At 42.8% G+C, this 19,752-nt stretch overlaps 1 long non-coding RNA gene and 1 pseudogene across 3 annotated transcripts in view, besides 4 other annotated features; one reads left to right on the forward strand and one right to left on the reverse strand.

Annotated features, from left to right (window-relative positions):
• Positions 1-19,752, reverse strand: part of NUDT16-DT (NUDT16 divergent transcript) — a 56,384-nt gene that overhangs the window by 35,809 nt on the left and 823 nt on the right. The window contains exon 2 of the long non-coding RNA NR_038976.1: positions 15,712-15,807. This is a non-coding gene — a long non-coding RNA (NUDT16 divergent transcript). The remainder of the gene's footprint in view (positions 1-15,711; positions 15,808-19,752) is intronic.
• Positions 791-1,335: an enhancer, noted in NCBI's record as "H3K27ac-H3K4me1 hESC enhancer chr3:131080535-131081079 (GRCh37/hg19 assembly coordinates)". NCBI's record gives its function as "activates a minimal SCP1, AML or CMV promoter by ChIP-STARR-seq in primed H9 embryonic stem cells {active_cell/tissue: H9 hESC(primed)}" and the evidence as "EXISTENCE:reporter gene assay evidence [ECO:0000049][PMID:30033119]".
• Positions 791-1,347: a biological region, named in NCBI's record as "H3K27ac-H3K4me1 hESC enhancer GRCh37_chr3:131080535-131081079".
• On the forward strand, positions 945-4,222 carry NUDT16L2P (nudix hydrolase 16 like 2, pseudogene; annotated as a pseudogene). Of its 2 annotated transcripts, NR_002949.2 has the most exons (3): positions 945-1,168; positions 1,272-1,541; positions 2,456-4,222. The product of NR_002949.2 is annotated as a nudix hydrolase 16 like 2, pseudogene, transcript variant 2 (transcript). The 2 variants fall into 2 exon arrangements; NR_027766.1 differs by having other exon boundaries at positions 974-1,541.
• Positions 1,218-1,277: an enhancer, noted in NCBI's record as "active region_20530". NCBI's record gives its function as "activates an Ori minimal core promoter by ATAC-STARR-seq in GM12878 lymphoblastoid cells {active_cell/tissue: GM12878}" and the evidence as "EXISTENCE:reporter gene assay evidence [ECO:0000049][PMID:35858748]".
• Positions 1,298-1,347: an enhancer, noted in NCBI's record as "active region_20531". NCBI's record gives its function as "activates an Ori minimal core promoter by ATAC-STARR-seq in GM12878 lymphoblastoid cells {active_cell/tissue: GM12878}" and the evidence as "EXISTENCE:reporter gene assay evidence [ECO:0000049][PMID:35858748]".

Here is a 19,752-nt window from a genome sequence, read left to right on the forward strand (position 1 = left end):
GGCCTGGCCTGGAGTGAGGGATCCTGCATCTCAGCATCAGGCCCTGAGTAGGCCTCTGCCCTTGTGGTAGGGTAACCCACCCTCCTTCATAGCTCAGAGGTCTGAGGGGGTTTGAGGGAAAGACTAGAAAGCCTAGGAGGCTTCTTCTATCTCTCACCCCTCCTCACTCCCAGTCCTGTGCCACAGGATTTCACTCACAGCTCCTTCCACCCCCACCCTTCCCCTGAAAATCTCACTGCCCTGTGACTTCTCCATGTGCCACTTCCTGTGCGTCAGATCCCCGCGATAAGCTGCCCACTGCCTGTGGCCGCCCCAATTCCTTAGAACTACACTTATCACTGCTCACCCTTCTCCTACTCTCCCCCTCTCAGAAAATGACACCACATCCAGGAAACTCGGAACCAACACTAGCCCAGCGCTCCCTCTTCCCCATTCACTCAGTTACCAAGTCCCCACAGTTTCACCACTCAAGACAGTTGTCAGACCATGGCGCCTCTCCATCCCCATTTCCCTAGGATAGGCCTTGGTGTCTGAGGCCAACCCTGCCTCATTTCCTCCTAACCCCCACCCAGGCCTTGTGCTTTGTGTACCACCACACCCAACCAAAGGTAGTTATTACTTCTTTGGCTCCCAGCACTCAAGTGAGCGCCCCAGCTCTCCCTTACCTGCTGGCACACTCCAGCTGACTCCAGATTCTGACGTAGGCGTTTATGTACTAGCCTTTCTCCAGGTTCAGGGCGCTGCCACACCTTCAGCCCCGCCCCGCCCCGCCGCAAGCCCAACCCAGAGGTTGCTTATGGTTTCCCTAAGGTTCCTGGGCTCTGGACATCAGTCCGGTCTGCAAGCCCCGCCCTGATTGGCTGCCTCCGGCACCGGTCGCTGCGCCCTGACCTAAGGCGCCCAGGTTCCTCCCCCTTATCCCTGCAGGGCTGGTGCCTTGCGGCACCGCCCACGCTCGGATTGGTCCGAGGTGAGATTCGCCCTTGTGCCCTCGTAGGCCTTCGGAACAGCGGAAGAGCAGTGTCGGGCCATGGCCAGGGCCCGCAGGCTGGAGCTGGCCGAGGCCCTGGCGCTGGGGCCAGGCTAGAGGCATGCCTGCTATGCGCTCCTGCACGCGCCGGACCCTGGAATTCTCTCTGGCCGCCTCCCTCTGCGCTACGCCATACTGGTGAGGAGGGCGCGCGCCCGGCCACTCTCCGCTCTGGCCTTGCACCTTCCTTGCGGCGCTACTCTCGGGTGTCCCTGCCAATCCCAGCTTCCTCCTCTCTCAGATGCAGATGCGCTTTGATGGGCGCCTGGGCTTCCCTGGCGGATTCGTGGACTCGCAAGACAGCAGCCTGGAGGACGGGCTGAACCGTGGTCTGCTGGAACTGCTGGGCGAGGCGGCGGCCGCCTTCCGCGTGGAGCGCCCTGACTACCGCAGCTCTCACGCCGGATCAAGGCCACGTGTTGTGGCCCACTTCTATGCCAAATCTCTGACGCTCGAGCAGCTGTTGGCTGTGGAGGCCAGCGCAACAGGGGCCAAGGACCACGGGCTGGAGGTGGGGCCAGTCTGGGACCCTGCCCCATATCTTATTCCTTTTCCTTCCATGTCTTCCTTTGCCTCAGCAACTCTTTTTGGATTGAGGTCCCCGTCTGTCAGAACTTGCCCTCTTCCCCATTTTCTTGGTGGAGTTGGGATCTTGGTCTTCTCTTATTGAATGGTACTGCCAACCTAGGCTTCCTGGGAAGATTTCCACCCACCTCGCCCTTTACTGGGCTCTGGAGAGATTTTTCTAGAACACACATATCTACATCTCTCTGCTGCTCTCTATTGATAATGTGAAAATGGCCAGGCATCTACCCTAGTCCCTTATTGTTGGGCCTCTGTTTCTCTTAGGAAGAAGATATGGCCCTAATACTTAAGGCCCTAATACTTAAGGCCAGGGAGACAGATTGTATATGGAGGTAGTTCTCAAATTTTGTCAAGTATCAGAATCATCTCTGAGGCTTATAAAAACAAAAATGACTAGATTCTACTCCCAGAACGCTGGTTGTGGGTGAGAAAGCCCCAGCTTCCACCACTCCCAAGTTCTGGGAGGGCAGGGGTTCAGAAATCTGAGATTGCTTTTTTCAAAAGTTCCCAAGTGATGCTGATAACGCTGGTCTAGGTTTCCCATTTTGAGAACCATTGTTGCAGGGCTAAGCATGAATTTTGGCGTTAGGAGCCACTAGAGGTGTAGGGGACAGAAGTCATAAGGATTAACATTGATGGAGCTGGATAGCATGTCTTGGGTCATTTGTCTGCAGAGGGTTGAGCCCACTGGGCCTCCTTTAGATAGGAGCCTTGGGCTTGTTTCTGCTGGAGTATTAAGAGTTGTGGCATCTGCTCTAGAAAGATCTGCTAAAGAGAGGATGGAGGTAGTGACATGAGCTACCTGGAGTCCCAGTGTCTCCTGTCTCCTTCCTTTTACAGGTGCTGGGCCTGGTGTGAGTGCCCCTGTACCCTGCATGATGGTGTGGGAGGCCTGCCCATCTTTCTGGAGAATTGCTTTATTGGTGCTGCCTGGGAGCAGTTACTGGATACCCTCCAGGACTTGGGAGTGGTGGAAGCTGGTGCTTTCTCAGGACTTCAGATCCCAGTTCGTCTGAGGCAACCCTCTGTGGACTCAGGGAACCTGAGCTGAGGACTTTGGTACAAGGAAGGGAATGTTTTCTCTTCCGGACCTAAAGACGATACCAAATTAAAAGAAGACATGTATATCATATGTTTTGAGCAGAGGACCCTCCAATTCATGGGATCAGGGGCAAAAATCCACAGCTCATCCCAGGGGCCCTGGCAGGTTCTCAGAGCCTACCTCTTCCTTGTATATTTGCATACAGCCTGGTAACCCCCAGGCATGCATATGTACAATGTGACCACACACAGCCTGACATCTTTCACCTGTCAAGTCCAATTTAACCAGGAATTGGCATTTGTTACCATACCCTGCCTCTTGCTTTGCAGAGAGCTTCTACAGCAAGGCTGAGTCCTTCCCACAGTCCTCCATGCCTGCTCTTTAGGGTCTACCCCAGCCCATGTTTTTTGGGAAGGATAGAGAAGCAGAGGACCCTCTTTGCTTTCCTGAAAGTAGCCATGCCCTTGCTGGAGGGTTCACCACAGCAATTGGTGGGAAAGGGTCTTAACCAATCTCCAACACTTTTCTTCTCCTGAAACTGAGAAGGGGTAAGGAAGTAGCTAGGTCCCCTTGGACGGAGCATGGACATGAGACCTGTGAGTACTGGTGTCTCTCCTTCAGAGCTTTCATCTTTGGTTCGCTGTAGACTCTGGGACTATCAGAAGAGAACTGACCCATACCTGTCTAGCCCTGCCCTTCCAAAAAAAGAGCCTCCCATTAAAGAGGAGTTAGAGCTGGGCCTTGAGGCTCTTCACTTCTTTCAACAGATATTTAATATGTACCTACTAAATGCCAGGTACTATAAAAGGTATAGAGAGCCATCCTTGCTCTCCAAGACTCCAGGGAAGGGATGGGCAAACATTTTCTTAAAAGCCAGATAGCAAATACTTTAAGCTTTGTAAACTACATAGTTTTTTAAAAAATATTTTCTAACATTGACTAATAAAAATTGCCTATGTTTACTGTGTACAAAATGATGCTTTCAAATATGTATACATTGTGGCGTGGCTAAATTGAGCTAATTAACATATGCATTACCTCACATATTTATCATCTTTCATGGTAAGAACACAAAATTTACTCTTAGCAATTTTCACAAATTAATGCAGTTTATTAACTATAGTCACCATTTGTGCAACAGATCTTTTGAACTTATTTCTCCTAACTGAAGTTTTATATTCTTCGATCAATATCTTCTCAATTACTGTTCCCTACCCCCAACCCCTAGTAACCATTATTTTACTCTCTGTTTCTATGTGTTTAACTTTTTTAGATGCCATATATAAGTGAAATCATGTGGTATTTTCACCTGGCTTATTTCATTTAACATGTCATCTAGGTTAATCCATGTTGTCACAAATGACAGAATTTTCTTCTATTTTAAGGCCAAATAGTATTCCATTGTGTATATATACCACATTTTCTTTATCTGTTTATCTGTTGATGGACACTTAGGTTGATTCCACATCTTGGCTATTGTGAATAGTGTTGCAGTGAACATGGGAGTGCAGCTATCTCTCCAGATCCTAATTTCAATTACTTTGAATAAATACCCTGTAATGGGATTCCTGGACCATATAGTAGTTCTTTATTTTTAAATATCTCCATGCTGTTTTCCATGATGACCATACTAATGTACATTTCCACCAATATTGTGTAAGCATTCCCTTTTCATATTTTCTCTAATACTTACCTTTCATCTTTTTAATCATAGCCATTCTAACAGATATGGGGTGATATTCCATAGTGGTTTTGATTTTCATTTCCCTAATAATTAGTGATGTTGAGCATTTTTTCATACACCTATTTGCCTTTCTTTGAGAAATGTCTATTCAGGTCATCTGCCTCATTTTTAATTGGGTTATGTGTTTTCTTGCTATTGAGTTGTTCATGTTCCTTATATATTTTGGCTATTAACCTCTCATCAGTTGTGTGATTTGAAGTTATTTTTTCCCATTCTATAGATTGTCCCTTTACTGTGTTGACTGTTTCCTGTGCTGTGCAGAAAGTTTTAGTTTGACATAATCCCATTTGTCTATTCTTGTTGTTGTTGCCTGTGCTTTTGAAGTCTTATCCAAAAAAATCATTGTCCAGACCAATGTCATGGAGCTTTTCCCCTGTTTTCTGTAGCTTTACAGTTTCAGGTCTTGCATTTAAGTCTTTAATCTATTTTGAGTTTATTTTTTATATGGTATGAGATAAGGTTCTAATTTTATTCTTCTGCACAGAAATATGCAGTTGTCCCAACACCATTTATTGAAGGGATTATCTTTTCCTCATTGTGTATTCTTACCCTCTGTGGAAAATCAATTGACCATAAATGTGTGGATTTATTTCCAAGATCTCTATTCTGTTCCATTGGTCTGTGTGTCTGTTTTTATGACAGTACCATGCCGTTTTGGTTACTATAGCTTTATGATATATTGTGAAGTCAAGCAATGTGATACCTCTAGCTTTGTTGTTTTGGTTAAGATTTTTTGGCTAGTCAAGGTTTTTTTGTAGTTTCATATGAATCTTTGAATTGCTTTTCTATTTCTTTGAAAAAAGTCATTGGAATTTTGATAGGGATTGCATTGAATCTGCAGATTGCTTTGAGTAATATGGACATTTTAACAACATAAATTCTTCCAGTTCATTAACAAGGGATTTGTTTTCATTTATTTGTTGGGCCATTTATTTGTGTCTTCTTCAATTCCTTTTTTTTTTTTTGAGACAGAGTCTCACTTTGTCGCCCAGGATTGAGTGCAGTGGCACCATCTTGGCTCACTGTAACCTCCTCCCAGGTTCAAGCAAGTCTCCTGCCTCAGCTTCCTGAGTAGCTGGAACTACAGGCATGCACCATCATGCCCAACTAATTTTTGTATTTTTACTAGAGATGGGGTTTTGCCATGTTGGCCAGGCTGGTCTCCAACTTCTGACCTCAGGTGATCCACCCACCTTGGCCTCCCAGAGTGCTGGGATTATAGGCATGAGCCACCCCACCTGGCTTTCAAGGTCTTGGAAGACCTACCAAGTCTGGGTAGGACTTCCAGTACTGTGTTGCATCCTTCTCTTATTTATAATCTTAGAGGAAAAGCTTTCAACTTTTTACCATTGAGTATGATGTCAGCTGTGTGTGGGTCATATATGGCCTTTATTATGCTGAGGTACATTTCTTCTATACCTAATGTGTTGAGAGTTTTTATCATGAAAGGATGTTAAATTTTATCAGATGTATCTATTGGGATGATTACATGTTTTTTATCCATTCTGTTAATAGGATGAATCACATTGATTTGCATTTGTTGACAAGGTCTATCCTTGCATCCCAGGAATAAATCCCATTTGATCAGGGTGACTGATCCTTTTCGTGTGCTGTTGAATTCAGTTTGCTAGCATTTTTTGTTTGAGATTTTTGCATCTGTGTTCATCAGGCATATTGACCTATAGTTTCCTTTTCCTGTAGTGTCTTTGGCTTTAGCATCAGGGTAATGCTGGCCTCATAAAATGAATTTGGAAGTATTTACTCTTCTTCAGTTTTTTGAAGAATTTGAGAGGAATTGTTCTTTAAATTTTTGGTAGAATTCAGCAATGAAACCATCAGGTCCTAGGCTTTTCTTTTATGGGAAAGCATTTCTTATTAATGCATCTACGTGTTATTGGTCTGATTAGATTTTATTTTTCTTCATGATTCCGTATTGGTAGAATTATGTGTGTCTAGGAATTTATCTGTTTCTTCTAGGTTATTCAATTTGTTGGCATATACTTGTTTACAGTAGCCTCTGGTGGTCTTTTGCATTTCTGTAGTATCAGTTCTGATGTTTCCTCTTTATTTTATTTGAATCATCTCTTTTTTCTTAGTCTTGATAAAGGTTTGTGAATTTTGTTTATCTTTTCAAAAAGCCAACTTCTTAGTCTCATTGACCTATTGTTTTTCTAGTCTCTATTTCATTCATTTCTACTCTGATCTTTATTATTTTCTTTTTCTAACTTTAGGCTTAGTTTGTTCTTTAGGCTTAGTTTGTTCTTAGTTTGTTCTAGTTCCTTGAGGTGTACTCTTAGGTTATTTATTTAGGTCATTTTTCTTTTCAATGTTAGTGTTTAATCCCATAAACTTCCCTCTTAGACCTGATTTTGCTGCATCACATAGGTTTTGGTATGTTGTGTCCCCATTTTTATTTATCTTAAGGTAATTTTTAATTTCCCTTTTAATATCTTCTTTGACCCATTGATTGTTCAGGAGCATGTTGTTTCATTTCCATGTATTTGTGAATTTTCTGAAATTCCTCCTGTTATTGATTTCCAGTTTTATGCCATTGTGGTTGGAAAATATACTTGATATGATTTTAATATCACTAAATTTGTTAAGTCTGATGTTTTATTTACTTTTTTTCTGTATGATTTGTCCATTGCTGAAAGTGGGGTATTAAAGTCTTCTACTATTATTGTATTACAGTCTGTCTCTCTCTTGAGATTTATTCATATTTGCTTTATATATTTAGGTGCTCTGATGTTGGGTGCATACGTATTTATAATTGTTATATCCTTTTAATGAATTGACCTCTTTCTGGTTATATAAAGATCTTCTTTTGTCTCTTTTCAGTTTTTGACTTTAAGTCTATTTGAAGTAATTATATCTACATATAGATATGTAGATTTCCCTTAATCTCTTTTAGTTTCCACTTGCATGGAATATTTTTTTAGACTCCATTTCTTGATGGGGGCGATGAGGAATAGGGCAGAGGACTAGCAAATAACTGGTAGTCAACTTTAACCTACTAAAGTATGGTCTATAAATGGAAAAGGCCATGTGGGCACACCAGAGTAAGAGGAGATCAAGGTGGAGATGTAGGTGGGAGTCTGATGAGATAGGACCTCACAGGCCATGTGAGGGGCTTGGAGTATGCTTTGGGGAAGTCACTCCTGATGTTGTGTGGAACACGGACTGGAAGGGCTAGTAGAGGAAGGAGGAGACAGAGGGAGCTGCCACATAGCTACATGGCAGATGGTGGTGATCTGGAGCAGGGAGGGGCAGTGGAGATGGGCAGAAAGGATGTGATTGCGTGAGATATTGGTGGTGGCATTGACAAGACCTACTGATGGACTGGTTGTGGGAGGAAGGGAGTAAGGAAGAAAGAAGATTCAAAGATGACTTTTATGTTTGTGTCTTAAGGCGTTGATATTGAGGATGTAGGGAAAGCCTGGTGGGTGGGGGAATAAGCTTTTGAAAGAGACAGGATCAAGGAAGACATTCTGGGCAGGTTAAGACAAATTTGTGATTTGTCTGCATAAAGGTGATAGAAAAACTTAGACTGGGTGAGGTGATCCATAAAGAGAGAAAAAGAGTGCTCAGGACAAGGCCCTGAGGAAGCCCAACCCCCAGAGTTTGGGCAGAGGGACAGGGCATGTAAAAGGAGAAGAGGAGGAGAGAAAGCTGCTTTTAGAAAGTAGACTATGCAGAGTGCTTGTGAGGGTTTAGGTAGAACGGAGGCAGAACTGTACACTGAATTCAGTAATATGAGGGTTTGATGACCGTGATGGCAACAATTTCAAAAAGGGTGGCATAGAGGACAGACTCAATTGGTTGAGTGAATGGAAAATGAGGGAGCAGAAGGTAGGACAAGCTGGCCCTAAAGGGGCTTAGGGTGATCACTAGAGAGGGCTGTCGGGTCAGGGAGTGTTTAAGGTGGGAGACAGGGCATGTGGATGTTGATGGCAACAGTTAAGATGGCAAGAGGAAACAGATGGGAGGGTGATCAGGAGGAGGACCCCTGAAGAGGCATCGTCCATGAGAAAAAAGGAGGGATGGGACCTTTGTAGGAGGAGGGACAGGCCTGCAGCGTAACAGGGCTCAAGGAAAACAGGAATGAGGCACGCATAGAGGATTATGATGGCTAAATTGATGGGAAGATGATAGAATTTGAATCTCTTCTTGGTGAAATGAAGTGAGACTATCAGCTAGCTGTGGGTGGAGCATGTTCTCAGAAGGTATGAAGTAAACATTCACTTTGGTGTGAAAAAGCAAGTTAAGGAAACAGCAGAAGGGCAGAGCAAGGCTGAGCTCTGAGATGCTCAGTTTAGAGTAGGATGCTGGGCACTCAGGTGTGTGTGTGTTGAGTGGGGATCTGCATGCACCTGTCTTCCCCCAATTAGGATTCAGGATCTGGGATGGAGATGCTTACTGCAGTGTTGGGGTTTTGCCAGGGGAGTATAGGAGGTGAGAGAAAGATGGGGCAGTTCAGATGACATGCACAGGAGAAACTGTAGTGATGAAATGTGTGGTCTGAGGATTAATCTGACCAAGATGGAAATTGAAAACTGGAGGTGACTAGGGAGGGATTAGGAAATTAGAGGTCTTGACGAGGTAGAAACTCCAGCATGGTGAGGGGCTGGGTGGGGAGGTGTATTTGAGCCAGACAGGAGTGCTTTGGAAATTGAGAGGTGGAGCAATCTCAGGAAAAGGCAGTCAAGGGTATGACCTGGAGTTGCTGGCCAGAGCCAGAGGAAGAGGCTTAAGAGGTGAGATCTGGGGTTAGCCAGACTAGAGGGCAGATGTTGGGGAGGATAGTGTGACCTAGAAGCCAGTGTCCTTGGTGAACCACAAGGCCAGTGGCACCTGCCAGAGGGGAAAACAAGCATGACAGGATAGTGCCTTCCAGGCAAGGGCCTTTTGAGGAAGGGAGGGTAAGCAGTGGTCTGGAAACTAAATGCAGAGCAATGTGGTTCCCACTGGCAGCCCTTGGTCTTGGGAAAATGGGAGTGGCTGGTGGGGGAACAGCTGTACAGATTAGGTAGATAGATAGACTCCTGGTGGGGTAAATTACCTTCTTCTCCTTAATGTCACCATGACCCCTTTGTCAAACGTTATCTAGATTAAACCTCAGTATAGGCAGGCTGCAGGAAATGGACATTCCAGTGGCTCCCGGGGTCCCAGCCTGCAGCAGCTTCATCTGTGCTTTGTGCACTTGGCTCTCAGTTATCTCTGCAAGGGACCCTGAAGACTGGGAGATCAGAGTCACTCACCATTGATGACACTGCTAATAGATCCCTTGCCTGAGGATCCGGTCCTAGGCAATTCTGGACCCAGAACTCATTCTGGATGTAATCCAGGTCAACGTTAATACCATTTGGAAGGTTCCTTTACAGCACTCAGTCTTACTCTGCTTGAGTATCCCAGTGATCAGTCCCTTTTATTAAATTTGTTTTTTATTTAGGTGTCTGGAGATGGCTGAGGAGCCCATGACTTTCCTGTATGATCCCTTGAACGTAACTTCCAAGTCAGTAGATTTCTTCTCAGGTAGCTTTCATAAAAGTGTTTAATTGTTGTCAGTTTTGAGTTCATCTCACCACCTAGACCTTACAGTCCCTGGGTAGGCAGGCAGTGGGCGATAGAAGCTCACACTCTATACTTCTCCTCTTACTCATTCCCACCCTGCTGAGGTTTAAGGAAAGCCAAGGATCAGGACCCACTTAAGCTTTCCTTGGCCTTGTTAAGTCCAATCATCTGGGGCGGGAAGAAGAGAAATGCTCATTGCAATCTTTGACCCCCACTAACTGCTGTGGTGACTTTGAGCCAAGCCCTTGACCTCCATTTCCTTATCTGCAATGTTGCTGTGATTCGTGTGGTGAGGTTAGAGAGGCAGCACTTGGGATAAGCTTGAAGAGATGCATCCAGCCATATGAAAGTACAGGATGCCGTGTGTGCTTCCTGCTTCATAGCACGTTTTGTTTCTTGGAAGGTGAGTGGCCCGGCTGCCTCCCCGCAAACACATATTTCTGCCTTTCTCATTGTAATTAGCAAGATGTTCCCACTTCTCAGCATTGCACTTTTCCCTTGAGTCTGCTAGCTGCTGGTGCAGAATAAACACTTTGGCCCCACACTGTCCTGAGACAAAGTCACCCAGCATATGGCAAAGCTGCTACTTCTCGGCTGGAACATTTGAGGCAACAGTGACTTCCTCCTTCCCCAGTTACCTGGACGCTCAGAGCCGGCCAGTGAAACATACAAAGGGAGGGGAAGAGAAGAGGGAAGCCATGTTTCAGTTTCAGTTTATTTCACAGAAATGTTTTGAAATCCTTTATCTCTAATGGAAGCACAAACGGGTGTGGGGGAGTCAAAAATGGGGGAAAAATTTAGTCTGTAAGCAAATCATTGGATGGCATCAGAATTTGAGCCAGGGTAAAAATGCTGGACCTTGGCCCTTAGACAGAGAAGTGCAGAAGAACTCAGGTTGGGGGATTCTATTTAAAACATGTTCAGTTCTGAGGAAGAGGAGTATGGGCAGGGCAGAGGAAAAATGTAAAATGGGAAACTCCCTCATGGACTTAAGGCCCCAGCAGAGAGAAACCATGTGCTTTCTCCCTGCTTCCCCGCTTCCCTTCTGACTTGGGCAAATGAGGCAGTTCATGCTCCCCTTAGGGCTGGAGGCAGTCTGCAGGGGCCAGCTGGGCAGAGAAGAAGTCTTCTCACAGGCAGCACTCACACTCCAAAAGCAAGAATAGCAGTGGGACTTTGGGAAGGACACGAAACAGGAAAAGGAAGCTCCACACCAACAGCTCCCTGATGAAGGGAGTCTGTGTGCCTAGGCTTTTCACGAAAGTGCTGCTATCCTGATTTAAATCTGAGCTGCACCCCTGTCTCCCCACCTAGGAACTCACCATGGGCATTCTCAGCTGTGGCAGAGGATACCCTCCTTTCATTCAGGATAACAACCCCTGGGTGGGGTTTTCAACAAGTATAAAAAGCTCCTGGATAAACAAATCCCAAACAGGACTCTCACCCACAGTCCCAGTCCTCTCACCTTCTTCAGGTATCTGAAAAACGGAACCAATGGGTTTACAACATCCTGTTATCCAGCATCCTGTTATTACAACATCCTGTAATTCCAGGCTGTGGATGTAGGGAAAAGCCAGGTAAACAGGGAGGGGAGAACAGGTGAATGACCCCAATGGTTTGAGAGCAAAAGAGCAGAATAATTGCCTCTGATTAAGTAAACAGCAAGTAATATTAATAGGTCTGTTCCAGAAATACTACAAAATGGAAGAGTATGTGAGCACCCGATGCACGTGATAAAGACCATGCTCTGGAAGATCCATTCCAAGGAGTAGAAGCGGTATTTGCTCAGGGCATTTAAGGAGAGCACAGACTCTGGAATGAGGTGAAAGAAAAGATAGGACATGCAGGAACAGCTGGCAACACCAAGAAAGGATTTAAGGAGAGGGATCTCTCTGTTAGAGAACTTAACGTTACCCTAGAAACAGCAAGAGCATCATCAGCCCCAGGAAAATCTACCTCTGATGTGGGGACCAGGCTTAAGAAAATCCCCTAGAATCCAGAGAAAAAGTGCAAAACAAGGAAAATGGCTAAAGAAAATATCGTAGATATAGAGATCAGACAATGAGAATCCAGAGTCTTGTTAAGTGATGGAAGAAAAATATTAACAGAACACATGTAACACGAACAACATTTTAGAGGAAACAAGAAGAAAAGTTTCCTAAACTCAAAAGATACTACACCAGAAGTGGGCAGTACTCACTATGTTCAGGGGAACAAAAAGATAAAAACTAAAAAACAACTTCAGAATGTTTTTCATTGAAAAACATTTGTAAGGTAGGAGAATTAGGCCACTTACTACAGCACAAACTGCATGTCTATCTAAATTGATGTGCAAAAGCATGGGTATGCTTGGATTTACTGGAAAACCATACAGGTGTTTTTCAGGAATGCACAAAATGAATCAAAGTAACTAACTGATCAGGAAAATTGTGTAAGAAATCTGTGAGCTGGTTGTGAGGCAGCGGGTCCTATTATGTACAAATTTAATGCTAAGTTACTGTGTTATGGCTATCAATATGTTACCAATACATGGAAATGTATGTAATATAAAAAATAATTTGATTAACATGATAGCCCCACAATTCTAGGTCATTCCATGAAAATTAGATAATAGGGAGTATGGGGAAGAAGAATAAAAATGTGCTAATTATGCTGAGGGGATGAGTAGCATGATTTAGTTTTTGAAGATGATAAGAGTCTTTGTGAAATTTTACTACTTTAAGGGACATATCAAAGCAATAGATTCTGCTGAATATGAAAGAATGGGAAAGAATGTCAGGGAATTACAGTCAAAGGTAAGAAATCATCATAATATTAATATCAAAATTGAATGTCAAATGCATTAGAATTCTTTAATTGACTAGAAGATTATCTACAATGATCATATAATTACCACCAACTTCAGATTATATATAGCATGATCTGCAAATGTAGGATGAAATTAATAAAATAGATTGAGGAGTGCAAACACACTTCCTTTGGTGTTTGACAGATAAAATGTCAGCTTTTTTTTTTTTTTTTTGAGATGGAATCTCGCTCTGTTGCCTAGCTGGAGTGCAGTGGTGCGATCTCCGCTCACTGCAACCTCTGCCTCCCAGGTTCAAGCGATTCTCCTGCCTCAGTCTCCCAAGTAGCTGGGACCACAGGCACCCACCACCGCACCTGGCTAATTTTTTTGTATTTTTAGTAGAAACAGGGTTTCACCGTGTTAGCCAGGATGGTCTCGATCTCCCGACCTCATGATCCGCCTGCCTCAGCCTCCCAAAGTGCTGGGATTACCGGCGTAAGCCACCGTACCTGGCCAAAATGTCAGCTTCTAAGTATGCATATCTGGATCTAAAGAGAATAAAAATGACGATGATGATGAAAACAATTAACATTTGGGGGATATTTACTGTGTGGCAGGCACTATTATAAGTTATTTTCATGTATTAACATATTTAGTCCTTAGGACAACCTTATGATATAGGGATACTATTATCTCTATACTCCAAATAGACCCAGCACAAAGGCCAAAAATGTAATTGATATACTTTGCCTAACAGATAAATATTGCACTCTGGAACTTCAGAGAATATATCTTTACGGGCTCAGGAAGCATTTACCAAATTAGCCATATATTGGACCTTATCAAACCTCAGCAAATCTTCTCGAATCTTCTAGTCCCTCTCAGAAATCATAGATCACATTGTTCTAGACTACCTCATTTAGTAAAACTAGAAATATGTGACAGGGATAGAAACTCTGAAATGGTCTTCTTTATGTGTTTTCTTATTGTTTGAATCTTATACAATATGTATGTATTCTATGGTCATAAAACAACAGTTAAAAAGTAAAAAATTTTTTCCTTATATGTATACAGAAAGTAGCCCTAATAAATCAAAAAGCAAAACAAAAAAGGATTCATGGGTGGGCAAGGATCCATCCCAGGAAGAATACTGGGGTAATTTGTGGAGTTGAGGAAAGATCTCTTCTCCAGCCTGAAATGAACAAAATCAGAGCAGAGCCTGCCTGCCTGAGTCTGAGCCATGTGCTCACATGGATTGCCCTGTGCTGATTGGAATATGTGGTCTGACTGGTCAGGCCTGGATCCTCTGCCCTCATTGTGGCTAGGGGAGTGGAGAGCTGTGGTTGGCAATCCCACCAGATCAAGATTTGGGGAAGCAGCAGTTCTCTAAGGGAGGAGGCAGTATATAGCACAAACACCTGATGTCCGCCGCAGGGGGAAAAACAAGGCCAGGTATTCTACCTACCTACCCTTTTGTTCCAATAGGCATGCGTGATTCCTTAATTCTTTGGTGTATGAACTACAGGTCTACTATCTTCAACCATAATACTTGCTCCATGGTACTATGCAGTCTCCACAAGGATCATAATATTCCATTGAGATGTGTCACCTGCATTTCAATCACCTCCTCTTTAGTTTCTTACCCTCCAAACCAACCAGAGCTAAGAAAGCCATTTTGATCTCAGGCTACTGGCGCTGCATTTCCCACTCTTCTTTCCCCTTGTTACTACCCATCACCCTCCCACCGCTCCACCCCTCCACGTTTTACCTCATTAACTTTGAGTCTGTCTCAGTTTTAGTGTCATTTCCTAAGGGAAGCATTCTTTATACTTTGACCTTCCAGACCAGATTAATTTCACCCATGTACCTTTTCTTCAAGTCACTCATTGCCAATTCAAATCATTCATTTGTATGTGACTTTTTGATTAGTATTTTTGTCCTCATATACTCATCAATGTTCTTGGATAGAAACAATAGAAATCATTGGGTGCGGTGTCTCACGCCTGTCATCTTAGCACTTTGAGAGGCCAAGGCAGCCGGATCACTTGAGGTCCGGAGTTCGAGACCATCCTGGCCAACATGGCAAAACCCCATCTCTACTAAAAACACAAAAATTAGCCGGGCATGGTGGCATGCACCTGTAATTCCAGCTAGTCAGGAGGCTGAGGCAGGAGAATTGCTTGAACCTGGGAAGTAGAGGCTGCCATGAGCCAAGATTGTGCCATTGCACTCCAGCCTGGGTGACAGAGCAAGACTCTGCCTCAAAAAAAAAAAGAAAAAAAAAGAAAGAAACAATAGAAATGGATTATGGTATATTTATGACAAAATTTAATTTATTGGAAAGGTATTAGGAAGCTCACAGTTTTAATGGGAAGCTGGAGAACAAGGATGAGGCAGGGATGAGGGTTGGTGAGGCACAGCCAGCATCTCGCTAGGGATAGTGGGCTTAGGATGCTGCCACCCGAGCCTTCTAAACTGGATACTTACCATTGTGCTACTGGAACCAACACCACTGGCACTCATTACTGGCCTACTGAACCCTTAACTCTGATCATATACCTTGTGTCACTTCTCCAAAATCAACATCCTGAGCAGGAGCATCTCACTGGCTGTGCTTTGGTTATAAGCCTCCTTTCAGTTACCCAAGGGCCAGAGAGGGAATATCTGCCCACTGTTACTTTCATAGCAGAAGAGGGGCTTTGCTTATTAGCATTCTTTTCAATGGCCCAGAATTGGAAACAACCAAAATGTCTCTCAATAGGTGAATTTCCCTGACAAGAAGTCTTTTGTGATAAGCCCCAAATGGCTCTAGCTGGTTGCTCTCTGCTGGTGGAACCTCCTTCCCCTTCTCCCATAGTATATTTGTCTAAATCAGTGGTTCTCAACCTTAGCTCTGCATTCAAAGCATCTGGAAAATCTGATGGGGATTAAGTGGACTGGTTTAAAATTACCTGGCAGATGGTAGATGGTGGTTTGTAGTCTTCTTCCTGCTTAAAAAGTAAGACCAGACCCTTACCTCTCTCTCCCTCTCCTTGACCAAAGGGATTCTGTGAAAGAATTTTGTGAAATGCAAAGTTTTATTCAAGTGTAAATGACAACTTTTACCTTTACTTCATGAGATGCCAAAGATCTTTTTATTTTTAACTTTTTACTATGGAAACATCAAGCTATATAAAAGTAAAAGTAAGCAGAATAACATAAGTCCTTAATAGATCCATCATCACCCAGCTTCAAAAATTATCAATTCATGGCCAATTTTACTATAACTTCAGCCTCTGCCCCTTCATTGAATTATTTTTATCATGTCATTCACAAATGTTTTAGTATGTATCTCTAACAGATAAAGAACCCTAACAAAACAGCCACCATACTATTAGCACCTCAAACAATGATCACTAAGTTTGTTTGGACAAATTAGGAATCAAATAAACCAACTGCTTCAATTGATATGTTTTCTCAATCTCTTAATGTATAGATTCTGCCACCATGCCTTTTTTCCCTTTGTAATTTATTTATTAAATAAATCAGGTCATTTTTCCTTTAAATTTTTGTTCAGTTTATATTTCACTGTTTGTATTCTCCTGATTTAAAACAAACCTATTTTTTAGAAGTTTTACATATACAGAAAATTTATAAAAATAGTACAGAGTTCCCATACACTCTACCTACTTTACCCTATAATTAACATCTACATTATTATAAAACATTTCTTATAATAATAAATCAATTTTGATACAGTATCGTCAACCAAAATCTATGCTTTATTCAGATTTCCTTAGTTTTTCTCTAATGTCCTTTTTCTTCTCCAGGATACCACATTCCATTTAGACATGTTATGTGTTCTTAGGCTCATCTTTGCTGTGAGAATTTCTCAGACTTTCATTATACTTCATGATTCCTATAGACTGAATATTTTTCTTCTCAAATTCTTATGTTGAAATCCTAACTCCAATTGTGTTGGTATTTGGAAGTAGGGCCTTTGAAAAGTTATTAGGTCATGAGGACAGAGCTCTCATGACTGAAATTAGTGACTTTATAAAAGAGACTCTAGAGAGCTCCCTCACCCCTTCTCACACATGAGGTTTCAGCACAAGACTATCTTCTATGATCCCAGAAGTGGACCCTCAGTAGGCACCCAATCTACCAGTACCCGGATCTTGTACTTCTCAGGCCCCAGAACTGGGAGAAATCAAGTATTTGTTGTTTCTAAGCCACCCAATCTGTGGTATTTTGTTCCAGCAGCCCTAATGGACTAAGACAATAACAATTTTGAGGCTTACTGGTTGGGTATTGTGTAGAATGTCCCTTCACTGGGATTTGCTTGGTGCTTTTCTCATGGTTAGAGAGGGATTATATCTTTTTGAGGGAAAACCACAGACAAAAGTACCATTTTCATTACTTCATATTAAGGGTGCATTCTACCAACATGACTTGTCAATGATGATTTTGACCTTGATCACGTGTTCAAGGTAGTGTTTGTCAGGTTTCTCCACAAAGTTACTCCTTTCTTCTCCTGTTTTCTTACTGTACTCTTTGGAAGGAAGTCATTATTCACAACCCACAAGGAGTGGGGAGCTATGCTCCACCTCCTTGAGGGCAGAGTAGCTACATGAATTATTTCCAGTTCTTCTGCACGGGATATTTTTCTCTTCTCCTCCATTTATTTACTAACACATTTTCATTATTTATTTGTATTATCAGTATGGGCCTGTAGATATTTATTTGATACTTCAAGTTATAATCCAATACTACTTATTTTGTTGCTCAAATTCTTTCAGCTTTGGCCACTAGGAACTTTTTCAGCTGGTCCCTGTGTCTCTGTTTCTTTGATATACCTCCATCAGTATCGATTTTTGTCCTTTTTTATTTGGTGAACTTCCTTAATTTCTGGCATCACAAGATGCTTTAGGCTTATTGTATATCCATGTTGCATATTTCCTGGCCCAATGTTAGAATCAGCCATTTCTCCAAAGGGCTTTGATTCCTTTTATGGAAAATGGTATTAGAAACCAAAATGTGGCAGTTGGTGTGTTTGTTGCTACTGGAATATCATTGCTTCTAAGCCCACTCAGCTGACAGAGGAAGGAAATATCTGTGCACACTAACCTTTGTATGTATACATATATGTGTGCATGTATGTATGTGTATATATATAGCCATATCTACATCAAGCTAAAAATGAATTCATACTGATGTTTCAAACTCTAATCTATTACTACATAGATCATTCTAGTCTCTTCCTAATATTTTAAATAGGTATTCCTTTGAATTTCTTATAAATTGTTAGATCAAGATGACAGTTCAATATTTTGGCAGAGATAATCCAAAGGAGGTAGTGTGCTCTTTTATCACAATGTGTATAACAACTGTCTATTCATGATGTTAGCAACCAATGATGATCATTCCCTAGATTCCATTAATTCTTTAAAGTTTAACAAATGTTAAAATTTTGATTGGCTCTGTCCTTCCTCTTTGATTACCTGGAATACTTTGTGAAATAAATTTCCTCTCATTAACTATTTGGTGGCCCTGAGGAAGAGCTCATATAAAAAAGGCAGGATAAATGCTTAGTTCTTTTCATTATTATTTTTAAAATAATAGATTGGTTTTCTAGAATCTTCCCATGCTGACTACAGAGTTATTTTTGGTTCCAGGTACCATTATGAACTTGGAACAGCTCTTTAGGTACATGGCTCAGCCCTCTACCTGCAGCCTTGAGTCCTGGGCATTCTGCCTTAGGATAGTGGAATGGGGGATGGTTGGTGGGGGTGGGGCAGAGGCAGAGAAGGATTTGAAAGGGATGGCAAGGTTGGGGGCTCTAAAGGACTTCCATATTCATCATATTCATCTAGAAAAAGCTCTGGTCTCCAAAATCATGAAAACTCGTACAGCTGTTGCCTTGGTTTTACAGTTTTTCATGTTGCCTTTGAAATCTTTGAAGTCATCTTGAAAAGTCCATCTTTAAAGTCTCAAGTAACCAGGAAAGAAAGAACAGCTTGAAGATCTGGAAAGGGCATGTTTGATCCTAAATCATTAAAGGTAGCCTATCTAGGAGAAAAACCAAGTCGCCTTTGGAATGCTAGTGGAAGGGGGAAGGCCCCGGTTCTCCACCCTGGTTATTAGTTACCTAAAACATATTTTAAAAACCGCATATGTCCCTGTAGGACCCCATACATTCTGATTCAACTGGTCTGTGGTAGGAAAAAGTGGCAGCTTTTAAAAATTTTTAGAAGCTTTTTGCGAGGTGACTCTAATGTTAAAGCAGGGCTATTTCCAAACCCCCTGGAACTCTAGCAGGCCAGTGACAATTGTATCACACCTACAGACTCATCACTTTAATGCAGTTGCTTCATGTTATTAGATAATATCCCTGCCCCACAACGCAGAAGACTAAGCTAGGAAAGATGATGTCATACAGCTCATCCCTCCTTCAAACACTGGAGCGTGATGAGTGCAGCTCAGTTCCAACACTTGGGTCTTTATTTATTATTATTATTTTTTGTAGAGACGGGGTCTCGCTATGTTGCCCAGACTGGTCTCAAATTCATGACCTTGAATGATCCTCTCACCTCGCCTCTCACAGTGCTGGGATTATAGGTATGTGCCCAGCCCTGGCTCCTCAACGTAAGACATAGCACTGTGCCCCAACCCTCAACTCCAAGAATGGCTACATTTACTTTCTGCCTGGCACTGTTCTAAGTGCCTAACATATCTCAACATCCCTAATAGGTTGGTATCATCTCCACTTAACAGATGAGCTGCTGGGATCTGAGAGAGTTAAGTGACTTGTTAAGGTCACAAACCTGTTTCTGGGTGGGTCCGGACTCTTTCCCACCATATGCCGTCACTTACAGGCTGTGAGTTTATGCCCAGCCCCCCTCAAGGAGCTGCCTCCTGCTTTCTATTGCATAATCAATATCGACACCTGGTGTAGGGGCGCTCTGCAGGGTGGGGAAGGCCTGGCCTGGAGTGAGGGATCCTGCATCTCAGCA

The sequence above is a fragment of the Homo sapiens genome, chromosome 3 (assembly GCF_000001405.40).
Source record: "Homo sapiens chromosome 3, GRCh38.p14 Primary Assembly".
NCBI classification, from domain to species: Eukaryota; Metazoa; Chordata; class Mammalia; order Primates; family Hominidae; genus Homo; species Homo sapiens.